The following is a 16,501-nucleotide window of genomic DNA, read 5'->3' as shown; positions in this document are numbered from 1 at the left end:
CTTACCTGACTGGCTCATCCAGAGTGATTTCTTTTCCTCCTAAGTTTTACATCTGTATTCCCTCTGGTAGTCATGGGACTTTTATAACACACTGCATTGCATGCACTGGAATCTTCATACCTGCCTCATCTCGCTGACTGTACTGTAAGCTCTCAGAAGACAGAGACTGTGGGGTTTGGTGTTTTAAAAAATGCCTGTGTCCTACATAATACCTAACAGTATTTCCTGTGGATAAGTGCTAAACAAATAGTGACACATTTTCAGATAGTGTGTGAGAGATGCAGTATATAGTCACAGTAAAGCACATGGGTTCCCGCAGTCAGTTTCAATAAGAACTCCACGCTTGGTTGTGCGACCCTGGCCAAATTACTTAACCTCTCTGCGGCTAATTTTCTCTATCTAACAATAGTATGAGTATCACAAGGTTGTCAGAGGGATTAACTGAAGTAATACATATTGAAGTCTTAAGAGTCCCTGCCCCAAAGTAAATGCTCAGTAAGTGCTATACATTATGACTATAGTTAACAGAAAGAGCTAACAGAAAGTATACAAAGTGATTAAAATGTAAAATCTCTAATAAAGTGATTTACTTTTTTTTTTTTTTTTTTGAGACAAGGTCTTGCTCTGTCACCCAAACTGGAGTACAGTGGTATGAGCACAGCTCACTGCAGCCTCAACCTCCCAGGCTCAAGTGATCCCCCCACCTCAGCCTCCCCAGTAGCTGGGACCACAGGTGTGCGCCACCACTCCAAGCTAATTTTTCTATTTTTTGTGGAGATGAAGTTTCGCCATACTGTCCAGGCTGGTCTCAAACTCCTGGGCTCAAGTGATCTGTCCACTTCAGCCTCCCAAAGTGCTGGGGATCAGGTGTGAGCCACTGCACATGGCCTTTTAAAATTCTCTTAATTAGAATTAGGTAGTATATATATCCTAAGAAATAGCAAAACAAGTGCAATCTGAAATTATTTTCCAGATACTCCAAAGAAAGAAGATATCTTCCCATAAATGATCACATTGGCCTCACTCAGACTCAGTACAAAGCTTCTATTCAAACTTTAGAATACTTCATTTTTTATTTATTTATTTGGAGACGAAGTCTCACTCTGTCACCTAGGCTGGAGTGCAGTGGCGCGATCGCAGCTCACTGAAACCTCCGACTCCTGGGTTCAAGTGATTCACCTGCCTCAGCCTCTCAAGTAGCTGGGACAACAGGCACACACCACCATACCTGCCTAATTTTTGTATTTTTAGTGGAGATGGGGTTTTGGCACATTGGCCAGGCTAGTCTTGAACTCCTGACCTCAAGCAATCCACCTGCCTCGGCCTCCCAAAGTGCTAGGAGAATATGTCATTTTATTTATTTATTTATTTATTTATTTATTAAAATGGAGTCTCGCTCTATCGCCCAGGCTGGAGTGCAGTGGCGTGATCTCGGCTCACTGCAACCTCCAACTCTGAGGTTCAAGTGATTCTTCCACCTCTCCCTCCCAAGTAGCTGGGATTACAGGCACCCACCACCACACCCCGCTAATTTTTTTATTTTTAGTAGAGACGGGGTTTCGCCACGTTGGCCAGGCTGGTCTCGAACTCCCGACCTAGAGTGATCCACCCGCCTTGGCCTCCCAAAGTGCTGGGATTACAGGCACTCAGCCAGAATACCTCCTTTTATTTGTTTACTTATTTATTTATGAGATGGAGTTTCATTCTTGTCGCCCAGGCTCGAATGCAATGGTACGATCTTGGCTCACAACTTCTGCCTCTCGGTTCAAGGGATTCTACTGACTCAGCCTCCCGAGTAGCTGGGATTATAGGCATGCACCACCACGCACAGCTAATTTTTGTATTTTTAGTAGAGACGGGGTTTTGCCACGTTGGCCAGGCTGGTCTTGAACTCCTGAACTCAGGTGATTCGCCTGCCTCAGCCTCCTAAAGTGCTGGGATTACAGGCGTGAGCCAACCCGCCTGGCTCAGAATGCTTCATTTTAAATAGTCAATTCCCCAAAACTGTAAGTGAGCTAGACCAGATGCTTCTGTATCAGTGGTGCCATCTATATTAAAATGTAAATAGTTCTAGTTTTTTTAAATTTTTTTTCCTCCTGGTTTGTCATTCCCCCATTTTATTTTTAAAAGGTTACACTTAATGTAAACATCCTTCACAGTCTGGGAAAACTTTTATATTTAAAGAGAAGCAAACATTATTTATTCTAGCCAAATAATTTTAACTCCTTTCCCTTTACTTTTCTTGTCAACATTTTTCTAATTGTTAGAATTTTCATTTCTACTTTATGAAAAAACTTTCAATGATAAAGAAGGAAAATGTGTATTCCATAACTGCCTTTATCTATCAGGAAAGGTAGAAAACACTGAGTCAGAGCATGCTTATAGACTTTGCAGAAGTGATCAGAAAGCACAAATTCATAATAGTTTCAGTTCTCCTGTCTTTTCCCAATCCAGTCTCTCTATTCTGAATTCATTATAAACATCAAAATACATAGAGAAGTCATTTCAAGGGGATTATTTATTACTCAGTTTGACATAAAATAGTCTATATAATCACTAGTAGAAAATATAGTGGTTAATATAGTGATCTATATCTAGGGCAGTGCTCCCTTCGGCAGCACATATACTAAAATTGGAACAATACATTGATTAGCATGGCCCCTGCGCAATAAAAAATATATATATCCAGATACAGATACAGATACATCTCCAAGGCGGCGAAAGGGTGAAAATCCCTAAGTCTGACTTGTACAGTCTGCATTTTTTGTTGCTTAAATGAAAAAGGAAGGTTTCAGAACAAGGATCACTGAGGAAAAAATAATAATAAAATAAAATAAGACAAATGAAAGTTTATAGAAACAAAGACCTGTATACATTTAGCAATATGAAAAAAGCCACTCTTCATGGCTAACCCACAATGAAAAGCAAAAAAAGCATCATTAAAAGAAAACGACTGAGGAAAAAGATTTTTTAAATCTTATTTCTTTTTTAAAACCAGAAAAAAAAAACCTAGCAGAATATCAACACTGCAGCACAGACTAACGTGTATTCCTGATGAACCAACAAGAAAACCTACCGCTGTTTCCTTCCTCGCTGCTGACGAGGTTGCTCCTCTTGAGGGTATTTAAAGATGTCCTGAAAAATGGGTTCATATTTCTTAAAAATTACAGCAGAAACAGTGAAGTTTCTTTCTAATCTCTCAGTACGTTCTCTGAAATGTGGGGGTAGATTTGCCATGTCTTCCCACTTCTTCATCTTATTAAAAAATTCGATTAAGCTGGTATTAAAGACAAACAAGATATTTCATAATTAACATAAGGCTAAAGTATACAAAAGTAAGTATTCAAAAGTAAATCAATATTATCGCATTAAATTATATTACTTTTAGACAGTGAAATAAAATCACAACTCATGTCTCTGACTAGCTTAATTTCTTACAGATTGGTATATTCCTCTGATCCTCCTAATCCATTTTGTTTAGGTTACCTAAAGTATTTGTTAACTATGAAATATTTGAAAATACAAACCAAAATTAACAAGAGTAACCTAACCAACATTCACGTTGGTTCACTGCCAGATTTTTTAAATGTTAATATATTAAATAAATTTTGTCGTTTTTGTTTTTGTAAGAGATAGGGTTTCGTTCTATCACCCATGTTGGAGTTCAGTGGCAAGATCACAGCTCACTGCAGACTCCTGGGCTTGAGTGATCCTCCTACTTTGGCTTCCTAGAACACTGTGATTACAGGTGTGAGCCACCTCCTCCTGCCACTTCAGATTTTTTTTTAAACTAGCAACACTATAGAAGCAGTCAAGGCTAGGCGCAGTAGCTCACACCTGTAATCCCAGCACTTTGGGAGGCCGAGGTGGGAGATTCACAAGGTCAGGAGTTTGAAACCAGCATGGCCAACATGGTAAAACCCGATCTCTACTAAAAATACAAAAAATTAGCTGGGCGTGGTGGCGGGCACCTGTAATCCCAGCTACTCAGGAGGCTGAGGCAGGAAAATCACTTAAACCTGGGAGGCGGAGGTTGCAGTGAGCCGAGATCACGCCACTGCACTCCAGCCTGGCGACAATGCGAGACTCTGTCTCAAAAAAGAAAAAGAAAAAGAAAAAGAAACAGTCAAAATTACCATTTTATACTCCTCCCTAATCCCATCCTTACCCTTCTACCCCAAAGATAAAAACCATTCTAAAGTTGGTCTTAATCCTTCCTATGTTTTCACACTTACTACACATACACATGTATGTGTAAACAATAAGCAATATCTTATTACGTGTTTTTACATTTTATATAAATGCTATCATACTTCAGTGGTATTCTGCAACTTGCTTTTTCACACTCAATAATGTTTCTGACATTAATGTTGATATGTAAGATATATTCATTTTAATTGCTAAAAACATTCTTTCATATGAACATACAATGACTTTTTGCATTCACTCCCCAACCAATGGAAATTTAGGTTGTTTCTAATATTCCATGATAACAAAACATGTTGTAATGAAAACATCCTTATACATGTGTGCAGGAGTTTCTTTGGGGACTACTCCAAGAAGTACAGTAAGAGAATGTGCACCTTCAATATTACTAGATACCACCAAATTTGCTAGTAAAGTAGTTGTGTCAATTTTGACTCTCACCAATGTACACCAGCAATATAGAGTTCCTGCCTGAGCGCAGTGGCTCATGCCTGTAATCCCAGCACTTTGGGAGACCGAGGCAGGTAGATCACTTGAGGTCAGGAGTTCGAGACTAGCCTGGTCAACACGGTGAAACCTGGTCTCCACAAAAAATACAAAAATTAGTCAGGTATAGTGGTATGTGCCTTTATCCCAGCTACTCCGGGAGGCTGAAGCATGAGAATCACCTGAACCTGGGAAGTGGAGGTTGCAGTGAGTAGAGATTGAGCTACTGCACTCCAGCCTGGGCAGCAGAGTGAGACTCCATCTCAAAAAAAAAAAAAAAAAAAAAAAAGAACTGAAAAATAAAAAAAATAGAGTTCCTGTTTCCCTGTACAGTGACCAAACTTGGTATACCAGACTTCAAATTTTCCCAATGATAAGAATAAAATGTTGGCCAGGCATGGTGGCTCACACCTGTAATGCCAGCACTTTGGGAGTCCAAGGCGGGTGGATCACCTGAGGTCGGGAGTTGGAAACCAGCCTGGCCAACATGGTGAAACCCGTCTCTACTAAAAATACAAAAAATTAGCCAGGTGTGGTGGTGCGCATCTGTAATCCCAGCTACTTGGGAGGCCACAGCGGGAGAATCGTTTGAACCTGGGAGGCAGAGGCTGCAATGAGCTGAGATCACGCCCCTGCACCCTGGCCTGGGTGAAACAGCAAGACTCCATCTCAAAAAAAACAGAATGAAATGTTATCTTTCTACTTTGAAAGTCTTTATTAGTGACAGTGAATATCTCTTCCTGTATCTATTAGCTATGTGAATTATAACCTTTGTGAAGTCATGTTCTTTATTCATTTTATTAACCCTGTTAGTAGTTCCTGATATAATTCTAGATACTGATTCTTTGGTCAATGTAACTCAGGATGGAGTTAAAGGTTAAAAAAAGATTACTAAAATTCACAACGTCAGCTAAAACATGACATTGTGAATTATTTTATTTTATTTATTTGTTTTGAGATGGAGTCTCGCTCTTGTCACCCAGGCTGGAGTGCAATAGTGCTCACTGCAACCTCTGCCTCCTGGGCTCAAGTGATTTTCCTGACTCGGCTTCCTGAGTAGCTAAGATTACAGGCGCATGTCACCACACTCGGCTAATTTTTGTATTTTTAGTTGAGACGGGGTTTCACCATATTGGCCAGGCTGATCTCCAATTCTTGACCTCAAGTGATCCACACACCTTGGCCTCCAAAAGTGCTGGGATTACTGGGATTACAGGTGTGAGCCACCGCCCCCAGCCTGCTAATTATTTTAATAGTAACCTTCTTTTTTTTTTTTTTTTTTTTTTTTGGAGACAAGGTCTTGCTCTGTGGCCCAGGCTGGAGTGCAGTGCTGCTCCATCATTCAGGGCTCAAGTGATCCTCCCATCTCAGCCTCCCAAGTAGCTAGGCCTGCAGGTATGCACAACCACACCCAGTTAATTTTTTTATTTAGTAAGTGATTTTTTAACCATTAACTCCATAAATTTTGACAGTGGTAATTTCCCCCAAAATGCTAAACATCATTTTTCCACTTATCTTTAATAAGCCATGTAAGAAAATTCACCTAAAAGGCACAAAAAATAAATGTAATCAATTTAATTACACAACAGATAAAGCAATTTCTGCCTCTTCTTTTAAACATATTTGACCCTTTCTAAAATGGATTATAATCATGTCATTTATCCTCCAAACAGGAAACTGAGAAATACTTACATGTTCCATTTATATTAAGACCACAAGTCCTGTGCACATATTTCTAAGTATAATAGCAAATAATATTTTATTTACCTTTTCAACTTGGAGTATCTCCTAAAGTTTCTCAATATCCTTCATTTCTCCCAATATTACACAATGTCCTAAACTTTAAAAATAAATTCTGCCATACAAGTGCCTAAAACATTAAAATTTAAATATTTTCACCAAAGAAGTAAAATATAATGGATATTAACTGTGATATAAAGAAAGGAAAATCATTAGATGCTAGTTTTAGCATCTAATTTCACCAGTCCACAGGTACAAATGCTCAGAAAATGATAAACAGAGATAATTCTTACTATCACTATGATTTATGAGCTTACATTAGCCATACTCTACTTGTCAAACTCTAACATAGTTACCTCTGCTCTGAACATTTCAGGATTCTAGTTAAAGATACATAGTTTCCTTCCACTGTCCCTTTGCTTACAGTTGGAACAGATTTTCTGCAAGCCACATATAAGGCACATGCTAACCAATGAAGATCATTTCCCTGTAAAAGAAAAGAAAATTGATTTTTAGTTAAAAAGCTACATATAAATATTTCAATATTTTTAAAAGTATGTTTAAATTGAAAGTGTTGTTTATATTTTTGTGGGAAACTTAGTTTCAATGATGACCCTATCTCATACGCTCTTTTTTTTTTTTTTTTTTTTTTTTTTTTTGAGATGGAATCTTGCTCTGTCACCCAGGCTGGAGTGCAGTGGCGCAATCTTGGCTCACTGCAACCTCCACCTCCCAGGTTCAAGCACTCCTCCTACCTCAGCCTCCCAAGTAGCTGGGACTACAGAAGTGCGCCACCATACCTGGCTAATTTTTGTATTTTTTGTAGAGACAGGGTTTTGTCATGTTGCCCAGGCTGGTCTTGAACTCCTGGCCTCAAGTGATCCATCCGCCTTGGCCTTCCAAAGTGCTGGGATTACAGGTGTGAGCCACTGTACCCAGCCCCGTAGGCTCTTCTTATAATGTGACATTAACATTATTCCACTGAGAGGTAGAGAGGGTTCCCTCACCTTGGACCTGGGCAAGGGTCTGCGTTCCCTCACACTGATTAACTGTCTCTATCAATAATTGCAGAGGTAGAAGTGAAACTATGTAATTCTAAAAGATTATACAAGGCAGTATAGATTCCACTTGGTTCTCTCTCTTAGGACATGTGCCTTCGGAGTCCTGAACCAACATGTAAGAATTTAGCTACCCTGGATCACCATGCTGGTGAGACCACATGGAACAAACATACAGAGATGCCCAACGAGCTCCAGCTGTGCCAGTACCTAGTTGCTCAAGTCTTCCAGGTGAGGTACCAGTCATTTTGACGCAGAAACATGACATCCACACTGTCCCCAGCCTGAATTCCTTACTCACAGAACCTGTGACCAAAACAAATTGCTTTCTGCCCCTAAGTTTTAAGGCAATTTGCTATATAGCCATAGTAATGCAAACAATATTATTGTTTATTTTTATTTATTTTTTATTTTTTTTGAGATGGAGTCTCACTGTGTCACCCAGGCTGGAGTACAGTGGCTCCATCTTGGCTCACTCCAAGCTCTGCCTCCCAGGTTCACACCATTCTCCTGCCTCAGCCTCCTGAGTAGCTGGGACTACAGGTGCCCACCACCACGCTCAGCTAATTTTTTGTATTTTTAGTAGAGACTGGGTTTCAATGTGTTAGCCAGGATGGTCTTGATCTCCTGACCTCGTGACTCGCCCACCTAGACCTCCCAAAGTGCTGGGATTACAGGCGTGAGCCCCTGCGCCTGGCCTATTGTTTATATTTTTAATCTTGCTCAAAATCTAGAAAAGTGATAGAAATACAAAATTAAGCTTGAATGGATATTCAGCCACTAATTTTATACCTAATCAAAACACATACATGAATACATAAAATTTATTTGTATAACCAAATGAGACTATTGTGGATCCACTACCAGATATCATTCAAAAATAATAATTTTTAAGGCATTGTTTGTAAAAGATCGTCACAATTCTTTTTACTCAAGAAGTGATACAACTTTCCTCTCCCTATAAAAGCGAGGAAGGATGGAAGATGTCCTTTAGCTTCAATGTATTCATTACTGGTCTAAATGAAAATGAGAAGAACTGGAAATTCTTCCTTTTTTCACATTTACACATAGACTGTCTTACAAACCCACTTATATGTATCAATAGCATAGATGTTCTTTTGTAAAAAAAAAAAAAACAGCCAAGATCTGTGTATCACATATATCTCTGGGAGATGGTTTCATAATATTCTTGATTTATGATGTAAAAGCAAATTTAGATGCATAACTACTGCATTTCTCTACTATATCAATATCTCTTAGAAAGCATAAAGTTAAGTCGGTCACAGCATTATCCTCTGCTTCAATAAAGGGTTTAAAAGATAATCTATAATGTTCTATTTTGGCTCTAGAAAATTCACAACTACTTGGATGGTGGAGGGAGAAAAAAAAAAAGAAAAAAAATAGAAAGTTTACAACTATATCGTTCCTAAAAAGAAGAATTAGTCTTGTGAGAATTTTACAGTGCTTAGATGACAAAATGGAGCGCGAAGCTCTTTTAAATAATTTATGCAAAGAGTAGACTCTGTGCCTAGTTTATCTTTGGTCCTAAAAAATATATGTTGAAAATTCCATAATACTAAAAAAGTTATCCTCAAAATTAACATCTCATGGTCACATCTTCTAGGGTCAAATAGATCTGGTTTCAAATTCCGGCTCTGCCATACAGTAGCTATAACACAGTGGGGAAATTACTTAACAGTCTCAGAGGCTGCATTTTCTTGGCTGAGGACTGTGAGAATGAGTTACAGGTTAAAAATGCACAGAAAATACAAGAAATCAAGTTAAAATTCCATAACCAGTATTCTGTATTAAACATCATAAGAGCTTTATTTTCCCTTGCACTCCCATGAGAATGACATCCCATATTGTCACAGCGTACCTCACTGTAAGCCCCACAAGAGCAGGTTTGCTGCTCTATATCCAGCACCTAGAACAATGTGTAGCAAGTAATAGGTGCTCAAGAAATATTTGATGAATATTTTACTGAGTAAATCATTTACTGAATAAACTGGGCTAAGAAGCTGAAACTAAAGTCTCAGTAATCAAAAGAATTGAGTAATCAAACATGTTTTCAAAAATAATTTACTAACCAGCTATTACGTGATACTTGCTCATGTATCACTAGACTTCATACAACTTAACTGCTATGAGTTGAAATACCTCAAATAAATGGCGATAATGCTTGTTCTATCTGATTTACAGGATTATCTTGAGGGTAAAATAAGAGCTTGTTTGGAAGCCTTTAAGGCCATTTACCAAAAAAAAACCCAAAAAACAAAAAACAACATAAAAAGCCAACCAGTCCTTCTCTTTGCCAGACTACAGAAAGGCACTGAGAGATGAATAGGAACATAGCTTACTCAGCCAGATCATGTAAATATACAAAGAGCTTAGTAAACTTGAAAACACTGTCCATATGGGTGCTTTATGTGCCAGAAACTACATTATTGCCTTATTTAATCTTCAGAACAGCTCTGTGAGGTAAACACAAATATCTCCAGTTTAGAGATCACCATACTGAACTTTTCCAGCGGTTTCAGGTCTGTCGGGTTCTAAAGCCACCATACACTATCTTCTGCAGACCTAACAATTCAAAGAGGGAACTAGTAATTGAATTAAAATTCTATTAATGCAAATACAAATTAAAAATAACCTCACTCATCAGTACACATAGCCAAAAACATCATATTTAAATAATACCTTGGTTAGGCTTTGCATCCTGGACCTATTTGCCCGACTCTTTCTACAAATTAATTATAAAACGACTTGAGAAATCAAATGGCCTCAGGTTTAAATGCCACACACACAGTCAAACAGCTGATAAACAATCCGTACTTCCGTGTCACTTCCCATTGGCCCATGAAGGGGAGGTGCATACAAAGCTGACACTCACTGGCTAGAATGGCCATTTTTCTCATCTGCAAGCCCTGTCCGAAGGCTGCGACCTAACACACCCGGATCGCAACAACAACAGGAGTCCTGTGCAATGCCCGGGGTGACCAAAAAGCCCTCGAGGTAGCCACAGTCCTGATCCTAGTGACAAATGGGGGCATGTGTCTACATCCGGGTCGGCGGAGGGCTCATTTCATCTGGCCTGGGGGGAAATGAGTATTAATTTGTTTACACAGACGTAAACACAGCCCAAAACGCATCAGCACGTTGACTCAAACGCCCGCAACGCCAGGGCAAAGGCAATTTGGTTAACAGGGGGAAGCGAACAGACGGAGACGCCTGGAGACCCAGGTGCCACAACCCGGTTAATCGCGGTGCAAATAAGGGCAAGTCCCCTCCCCTTGTCCGTGTGGTCTTGACAACGACACTAGTTCATTCTACTAACAAGGCGGGCGGGGGGTCAGATGGGCCACACACACCCATTTTCCTCAACGGGACCCCAGCGCGATCTCAGCCTTGCTGTGCTACTTTAGGGCAAGACGCGTTCCCCATTCGGAAGCCGCAGGAAAGCGCGGCGAGAGCGGGTTAGCCCTCGGAGCGGCTAAGAGCCTCGGAATAGCGCAGAGGAAGTCCCCACCCCTCTCGGGGCTGGGAGCCCGCAACCCGCCCGAGAGTCTCTCGAGGCGCGCGACGCGGCTCGGAAGGCACCGGTTCACGCCAACTAGGCCGGAAGCGCCCCTCCGCCCGCGAGCGCACCTCCAGCGTGTAGCTTTCGCTCATGCTGCGGTAGCTGTCCCAGGCCTCGGCCCGCGCCGCCTCGTCCATGTTGAGGCGGCTGCACAGCTCGTCGAACCGCTGCTGGATCTGAGGGGTGGGCGACTCGGCAGGCGGCGCGGCGTCTTCCGCCTCGCCGTCGTCCTCCTCCTCCTCATCCGAGGCTGCCGCCGCCGGAGGGGGAGGCGGGGGCGGTGGCGACTGGTCACCTCCCGACGGCATAGCGCACCCCTGGGCGGCCGGACCTCAGGTGAGGTGAGGGCCCGGGCCCGCAGCCATTCAAACGGCGAAGCGCCCGCCCGTCCGCCGCCCGCACCGCGCCTGCGCCGCCGCAAACGACGCTGACCGCCTGCAGGCACCCGTAGTCTTGAGCACGGGCTGCTGGGAAACGTAGTCCAGGCCGGCGGTTCAAGGGGGCCAAAAATCATGTTTAAAAAAATTAGCTCCCCTAGTTTCACCAGGGGTGAAATAAAAGCACCTTCCCCGCATTTTAAACACGTACCTCCCCACCGTGAGAACATTCAACAGGGCTGTACTGACGAGAAAATGTCCAAAAGACACTGACGTGTGAAGGTTTCGTATCCAGGCTGTTCCCAGAAGTAAAACTTCCTCATCGCCTGGATATCCTTATCTAAAAAATAGGGATAATAGCAAGGGCCTGTCTCTGTACGTTCACGAAACTGCCTTTGCAAAAATCCTAACAGTGAGAAAGTTATGACAGTGCAAGGGATCTGACCTAAATGACTCCACGCTTCTCACTTCCGAGCTGCCCTTGTTCATTCCTGGGCGAAGACCTAACTAACTACAGGAGGAATTTAATTTCTAATTTCACTTTGAAACAAAGATTGTAACAGTCCTTTCCAAAAACAAACCCCATTCTTGCCTGGGGATCAGTCTGCCTTTGTAGAACTAACAAATTAGCCACAAGATTAGAAATTATGATTTAGGAGGCTTGCAGCCAGAGGCTATAAGATTCCTGACCTCCCCAATTGCTCTCAGGGATAACATCACTATTGTAAAACCTAAGATTGGTGCTGGAGATACTTTTCAGACCGCGCATTCCGATGCACTAGCTGGCGCCACTCAGACCATAATCTGGCTCAACAAGTTCTGCAATTCCACTCAGTAACAGAAGACAGCAAGAGCCCACTTCAACCCCCTGTGATTTCACCTCCCACCTGACAAATTAGCATTCGCCAATCCCTGGCCCCCTACCCGCCAAGTCATTCTTTAAAAACCCCAGTCTCCGAATTTTCTGGTAGGCTGATTTGAATAACCAAACTCCTGTCTGCCGTTCAGCTGGCTCTGCGTGAATTAAACTTTTTTTTTTTTTTTGAGACAGAGTCTGGCTCTGTTGCCCAGGCTGGAGTGTAGTGGCACGATCTCGGCTCACTGCAACCTCCGCCTCCTGGGTTCAAGCGATTCTCCTGCCTCAGCCTCCTGAGTATCTGGGATTACAGGTGTGCGCCACCGCACCCAGCTAATTTTTGTATTTTCAGTACAGGCAGGGTTTCACCATGTTGGCCAGGCTGGTCTCGAACTCCTGACCTCAAGTGATCCACCCACCTCGGCCTCCCAAAGTTCTGGGATTACAGGCGTGAGCCACCGTGCCCAGCCAATTCATTTTATTTCCAATTCTCCTTTCTTTATTTTAATTTTTTAAATTGCCAATCCTTGATTTATAAATGGGCTTGATATAAAACATTTTCCAGATTGAGGAGCAATCTGAGGATTGAGCAATTTGAGGATTCAGAAGGCATTACTGTTTTGCTATTTTTGTTTTGCTTGGTGGGATATGTAAACTGACAGAGGGAAAAGTGCTGGGACAAAAGTAGGGGCTTATGGAAGGTATAATGACAGGCGGGAGGACAGGAAATGGAACTCTGAAGATAGGAGAAAATCAGGTAGACAGGTAACAGGATATTTCAGGAACAATTTTGAGACAATGGAACCCTCTTAAGAAAACCTTAGTAAAATTCACAGTAATCAGCAATGCTTTTGGAGTTGGCTAAGTGATGAGTCTCAAGGTGACTATGGGGCAAGAACAGAAGTTGAACACAAATGGTTTAGAAGTATCTTAAGTATATAGGCTGGACGTTGTGGATCACACCTGTAAATCCAGCACTTTGGGAGGTCAAGGTGGGAGGACTGCTTGAGTACAGGAGTTCGAGACCAGCCTGGGCGACATAGTGAAACCCTGTCTCTACAAAAAATAGAAAAATTAACCCAGAGTGGTGGTACACGCCTGTAATCCTAGCTACTTGGGAGACTGAGGTGGGAGGAACGCCTAAGCCTGGGGAGTCTGCAGTGAACTGTGACCATGCCACTACAGCTTGGGCAACAGAGACCCTGTCTCAAAAAAATAATAATAAATAATTTGGCAAGGCGCGGTGGCTCACGCCTGTAATCCCTACACTTTGGGAGGCCAAGGCGGGCAGATCACTTAAGGTTAGGAGTTTAAGACCAGCCTGGCAAACATTGTGAAACCCCATTTCTACTAAAAATACAAAAAATTAGCCAGGAGTGGTGGCTGGTGCCAGTAATCCCAGCTACTCAGGAGGCTGAGGCAGGAGAATTGCTGGAACCCAGGAGGCAAAGACTGCAGTTAGCTGGGATCATGCCACTGCACTCCAGCCTGGGCGACAGAGCAACTCCATCTCAATAAATAAATAAATTAATAAATAATAAGTGTATTAAAATCTTAGTATTTTACCTGTATATACACTGGGAATATTGATTTTAAAATAATGATATTTCTTCCTTTGGAAATCATTATCAACACTTTACTATGTCAAAGCAAATAAAGAGGCCATGAGCCTGATATCATCTGTCTCTGTAGCTGGAGCTTATATGTAAGCAAACCAGAATTCAGTGTAAACAGTAAGACAACAGTAAAACAAAACATAAGCTTAACCAATCAGAAACTGCCAACTAGCCTCTAATTAGGGATTTTCCTTTTTTTTTTTTTTTTTTTTTTTTGGTGACAGAGTCTTGCCTTGTCACGCAGGCTGGAGTGCAATGATGCAATCTCGGCTTACTGCAACCTCTGCCTCCCAGGTTCAAGCGATTCTCCTGCCTCAGCCTCCAGAGTGGCTGGGATTACAGGAGCCAACCACCACACCGGCTAATTTTTGTATTTTTAGTAGAGACGGGGTTTAAGCACATTGGCCAGGCTGGTCTTGAACTCCTGACCTCAAATGATCCAACCACCTCGGCCTTCCAAAGTGCTGGGATTACAGGCATGAGCCACCGGGCCCAGCCCTCACACCCAAATAAGGCAAACACCCAGCTGTAGCCAATCAAGTAACTGTTTTACTTTTCTATTAAAGCTTACTGCTCACCTGCAGAAGCGCTCTGAATATCTTCTTGTTTTAAGTGGTGCCCAATTCATGAATTGTTGTTTGCTTAAACTGTTAACTTGTCCAAAGTTTTTCTTTTAGCAACTAAGAGAAAAACTTAAATTGTTTTAACAATTAAAGTTTAACTTCAAACTGTTTAACTTAAACAAACGATGTGAAATTATCTTTACTATTTTTAGTAAAAGTTAATGTAATTTAAATAATTATTGCAATGTAAGCAAAATTGGTGGCAATAAACCATCAAATATGTATTTATTAAAATATCCTTTGCTTGTTAATACCAATGTTTTCAAAGCCTTTTGGGATGGGGGTGGGGTGGAATGGGGGTGTGAGTGTTACCTGAAAGGAGTCCCGATCCAGACCCCAAGAGAGGGTTCTTGGATCTCATGTAAGAAAGAATTCAGGGCGAGTCCACAGTGCAAAGCAAAAGAAAGTTTATTAAGAAAGTAAAGTGATGAGAGAACAGTTACTCCATAGAGAGTAGGACGTTCCCGAAAGTAGGAGGAGGAATGCATCCACCCTAGGTACAATACTTGTTTATAAATAGGATTTAGAAAGATCATGAGGAGATGTGCTCTGCCACAAGGGTTTGTGATAAAGGATTAATCTTCCTAATTACTATATTTTGCAAGAATTGATATTATCTTTAAAGCAAAATTAGGAATGCTTCTGTTCTCAAGATATCGGGATATCAGGACACTCCTAAGTCTGGGTCTGTTTAGTAAATGTTATCAATGTGTTCCCTTAACTATAAACATCTAGGGGCTAGGAATACCTAACTTTCTAGGAATGCAGCCCAGCCAGTCCCAGCCCCATTTTTCCTAGCCATCACTCAAGATGGAGTCACTCTGGTTTGGATGCCTCTGATATGGAGAAGTTAAATTTCCTTGAGGTTATTATTTGACTTATGAAGCTTAGTCATAAAATGCAAGAGGTCTTTCACCTGACTGGCACATGTGCTCTCTCTGTCTCTCATTCTCTCAGTCATTCTTCATTCACTCTTTGTACCCAGCCAACATACTGTGGGAAAGACCAGGTCACCTATTGTCAAAGATAAACAAAGCCGAACATTAGTTAAAGTGTGAAAAACGGATTTTACTGAGTAACTACTGACAGACAGCAGGGAAAGAGCTGAGCTTCATTCCAACTTTTTTAGATGTGACTTGGCCTTTTAAAGAAAGAGTAAAGGAGGAGGGGGAGAGAGCAGAGCTTGAGTAAAAAATTACAAAAGGTGGGTCAATGTTAATGTCATTAGGCTAGTTGTGTCTACTAGCCAGCAACTATCAAAGTCAGGCTACTGTCCCCTACACAGACTGGAAGACAGAACCCCTATTCTTCCTGATGATTTCAATGGGAGGGTGGGGGCAGGGAGCCCAGGATCATTCCAGAGAATTGACCCTAAGCTCCCAGAAGCAATGCAAAAATTTGATCCTCTCTCTCTCTCTCTTTTCTTTTGCTCATGAGATATGGTCATCTCTTAAGTGCAGAGGTTTGGAAGGAGCCTTTATGTGCCAAGAATTCTGCAGTTATCACCATGTGGATAGGACCCAAGGCCTCTGGCCCTCAGCTGTGTTGAATAAGCCAGTTTGGAAGCCGAAGCAGATCCTCCAGCCTTCAGTCAAATTGTCCTAGCTGATGTTGTATACAACAGAGATGAACCTTCCCACTGAGCCCTGCCCAACTGAAATCTGTGGGACAAAAAAATGATGTTTGACATTAACGTTCCTTCAAAGAAAGAGATTTTAAGTCACAGCCATTTTTGATCGTGGAGGTTAACTGATTCTGTCTTAGTTCTTGAGCAAGATGCTAGGAGTTGAAATTGTAACTGTCCAGTGAGTTTTTCTGGCCTGCTGCCCAGACTGAGTAGATTTATCAAGATAGGGGAATTGCATTAGAGAAAGAGTTTAATACACTCACAGCCAGCTAAACAGGAGACCGGACTTGTATGACTCAAATCAGTCTCCCTGAAAATTTGGAGACCAGGGT

At 41.7% G+C, this 16,501-nt stretch overlaps 1 protein-coding gene and 1 pseudogene across 7 annotated transcripts in view, besides 2 other annotated features; one reads left to right on the top strand and one right to left on the bottom strand.

Moving 5' to 3' along the window:
• RBL2 (RB transcriptional corepressor like 2) overlaps nt 1–11,464 on the bottom strand; it is a 57,178-nt gene extending 45,714 nt beyond the window's left edge. For 4 of the 7 annotated variants that reach the window (NM_005611.4, NM_001323608.2, NM_001323609.2 and 1 more), the window contains exons 1-3: nt 11,139–11,464; nt 6,789–6,919; nt 3,077–3,277 (exon numbers count right to left, since the gene is read on the bottom strand). In NM_005611.4, coding sequence (NP_005602.3) covers nt 3,077–3,277; nt 6,789–6,919; nt 11,139–11,378 — 572 coding nt within the window. In that variant the 5' untranslated portion in view covers nt 11,379–11,464. Of the gene's footprint in view, nt 1–5; nt 160–3,076; nt 3,278–6,788; nt 6,920–10,190; nt 10,317–11,138 lie in introns of those variants that run through there. The other 3 variants (NM_001323611.1, XM_047434414.1, XM_011523253.3) reach the window with 3 other exon arrangements.
• On the top strand, nt 2,603–2,669 carry RNU6-1153P (RNA, U6 small nuclear 1153, pseudogene; annotated as a pseudogene).
• Nucleotides 10,470–10,579: an enhancer, noted in NCBI's record as "active region_10842". NCBI's record gives its function as "activates an Ori minimal core promoter by ATAC-STARR-seq in GM12878 lymphoblastoid cells {active_cell/tissue: GM12878}" and the evidence as "EXISTENCE:reporter gene assay evidence [ECO:0000049][PMID:35858748]".
• Nucleotides 11,190–11,409: a silencer, noted in NCBI's record as "silent region_7496". NCBI's record gives its function as "represses an Ori minimal core promoter by ATAC-STARR-seq in GM12878 lymphoblastoid cells {active_cell/tissue: GM12878}" and the evidence as "EXISTENCE:reporter gene assay evidence [ECO:0000049][PMID:35858748]".

The sequence above is a fragment of the Homo sapiens genome, chromosome 16 (genome assembly GCF_000001405.40).
Source record: "Homo sapiens chromosome 16, GRCh38.p14 Primary Assembly".
Taxonomy (NCBI): Eukaryota; Metazoa; Chordata; class Mammalia; order Primates; family Hominidae; genus Homo; species Homo sapiens.
Note: the sequence above shows the minus strand (reverse complement) of the source record. Positions and strands in the feature narration are given on the sequence as shown.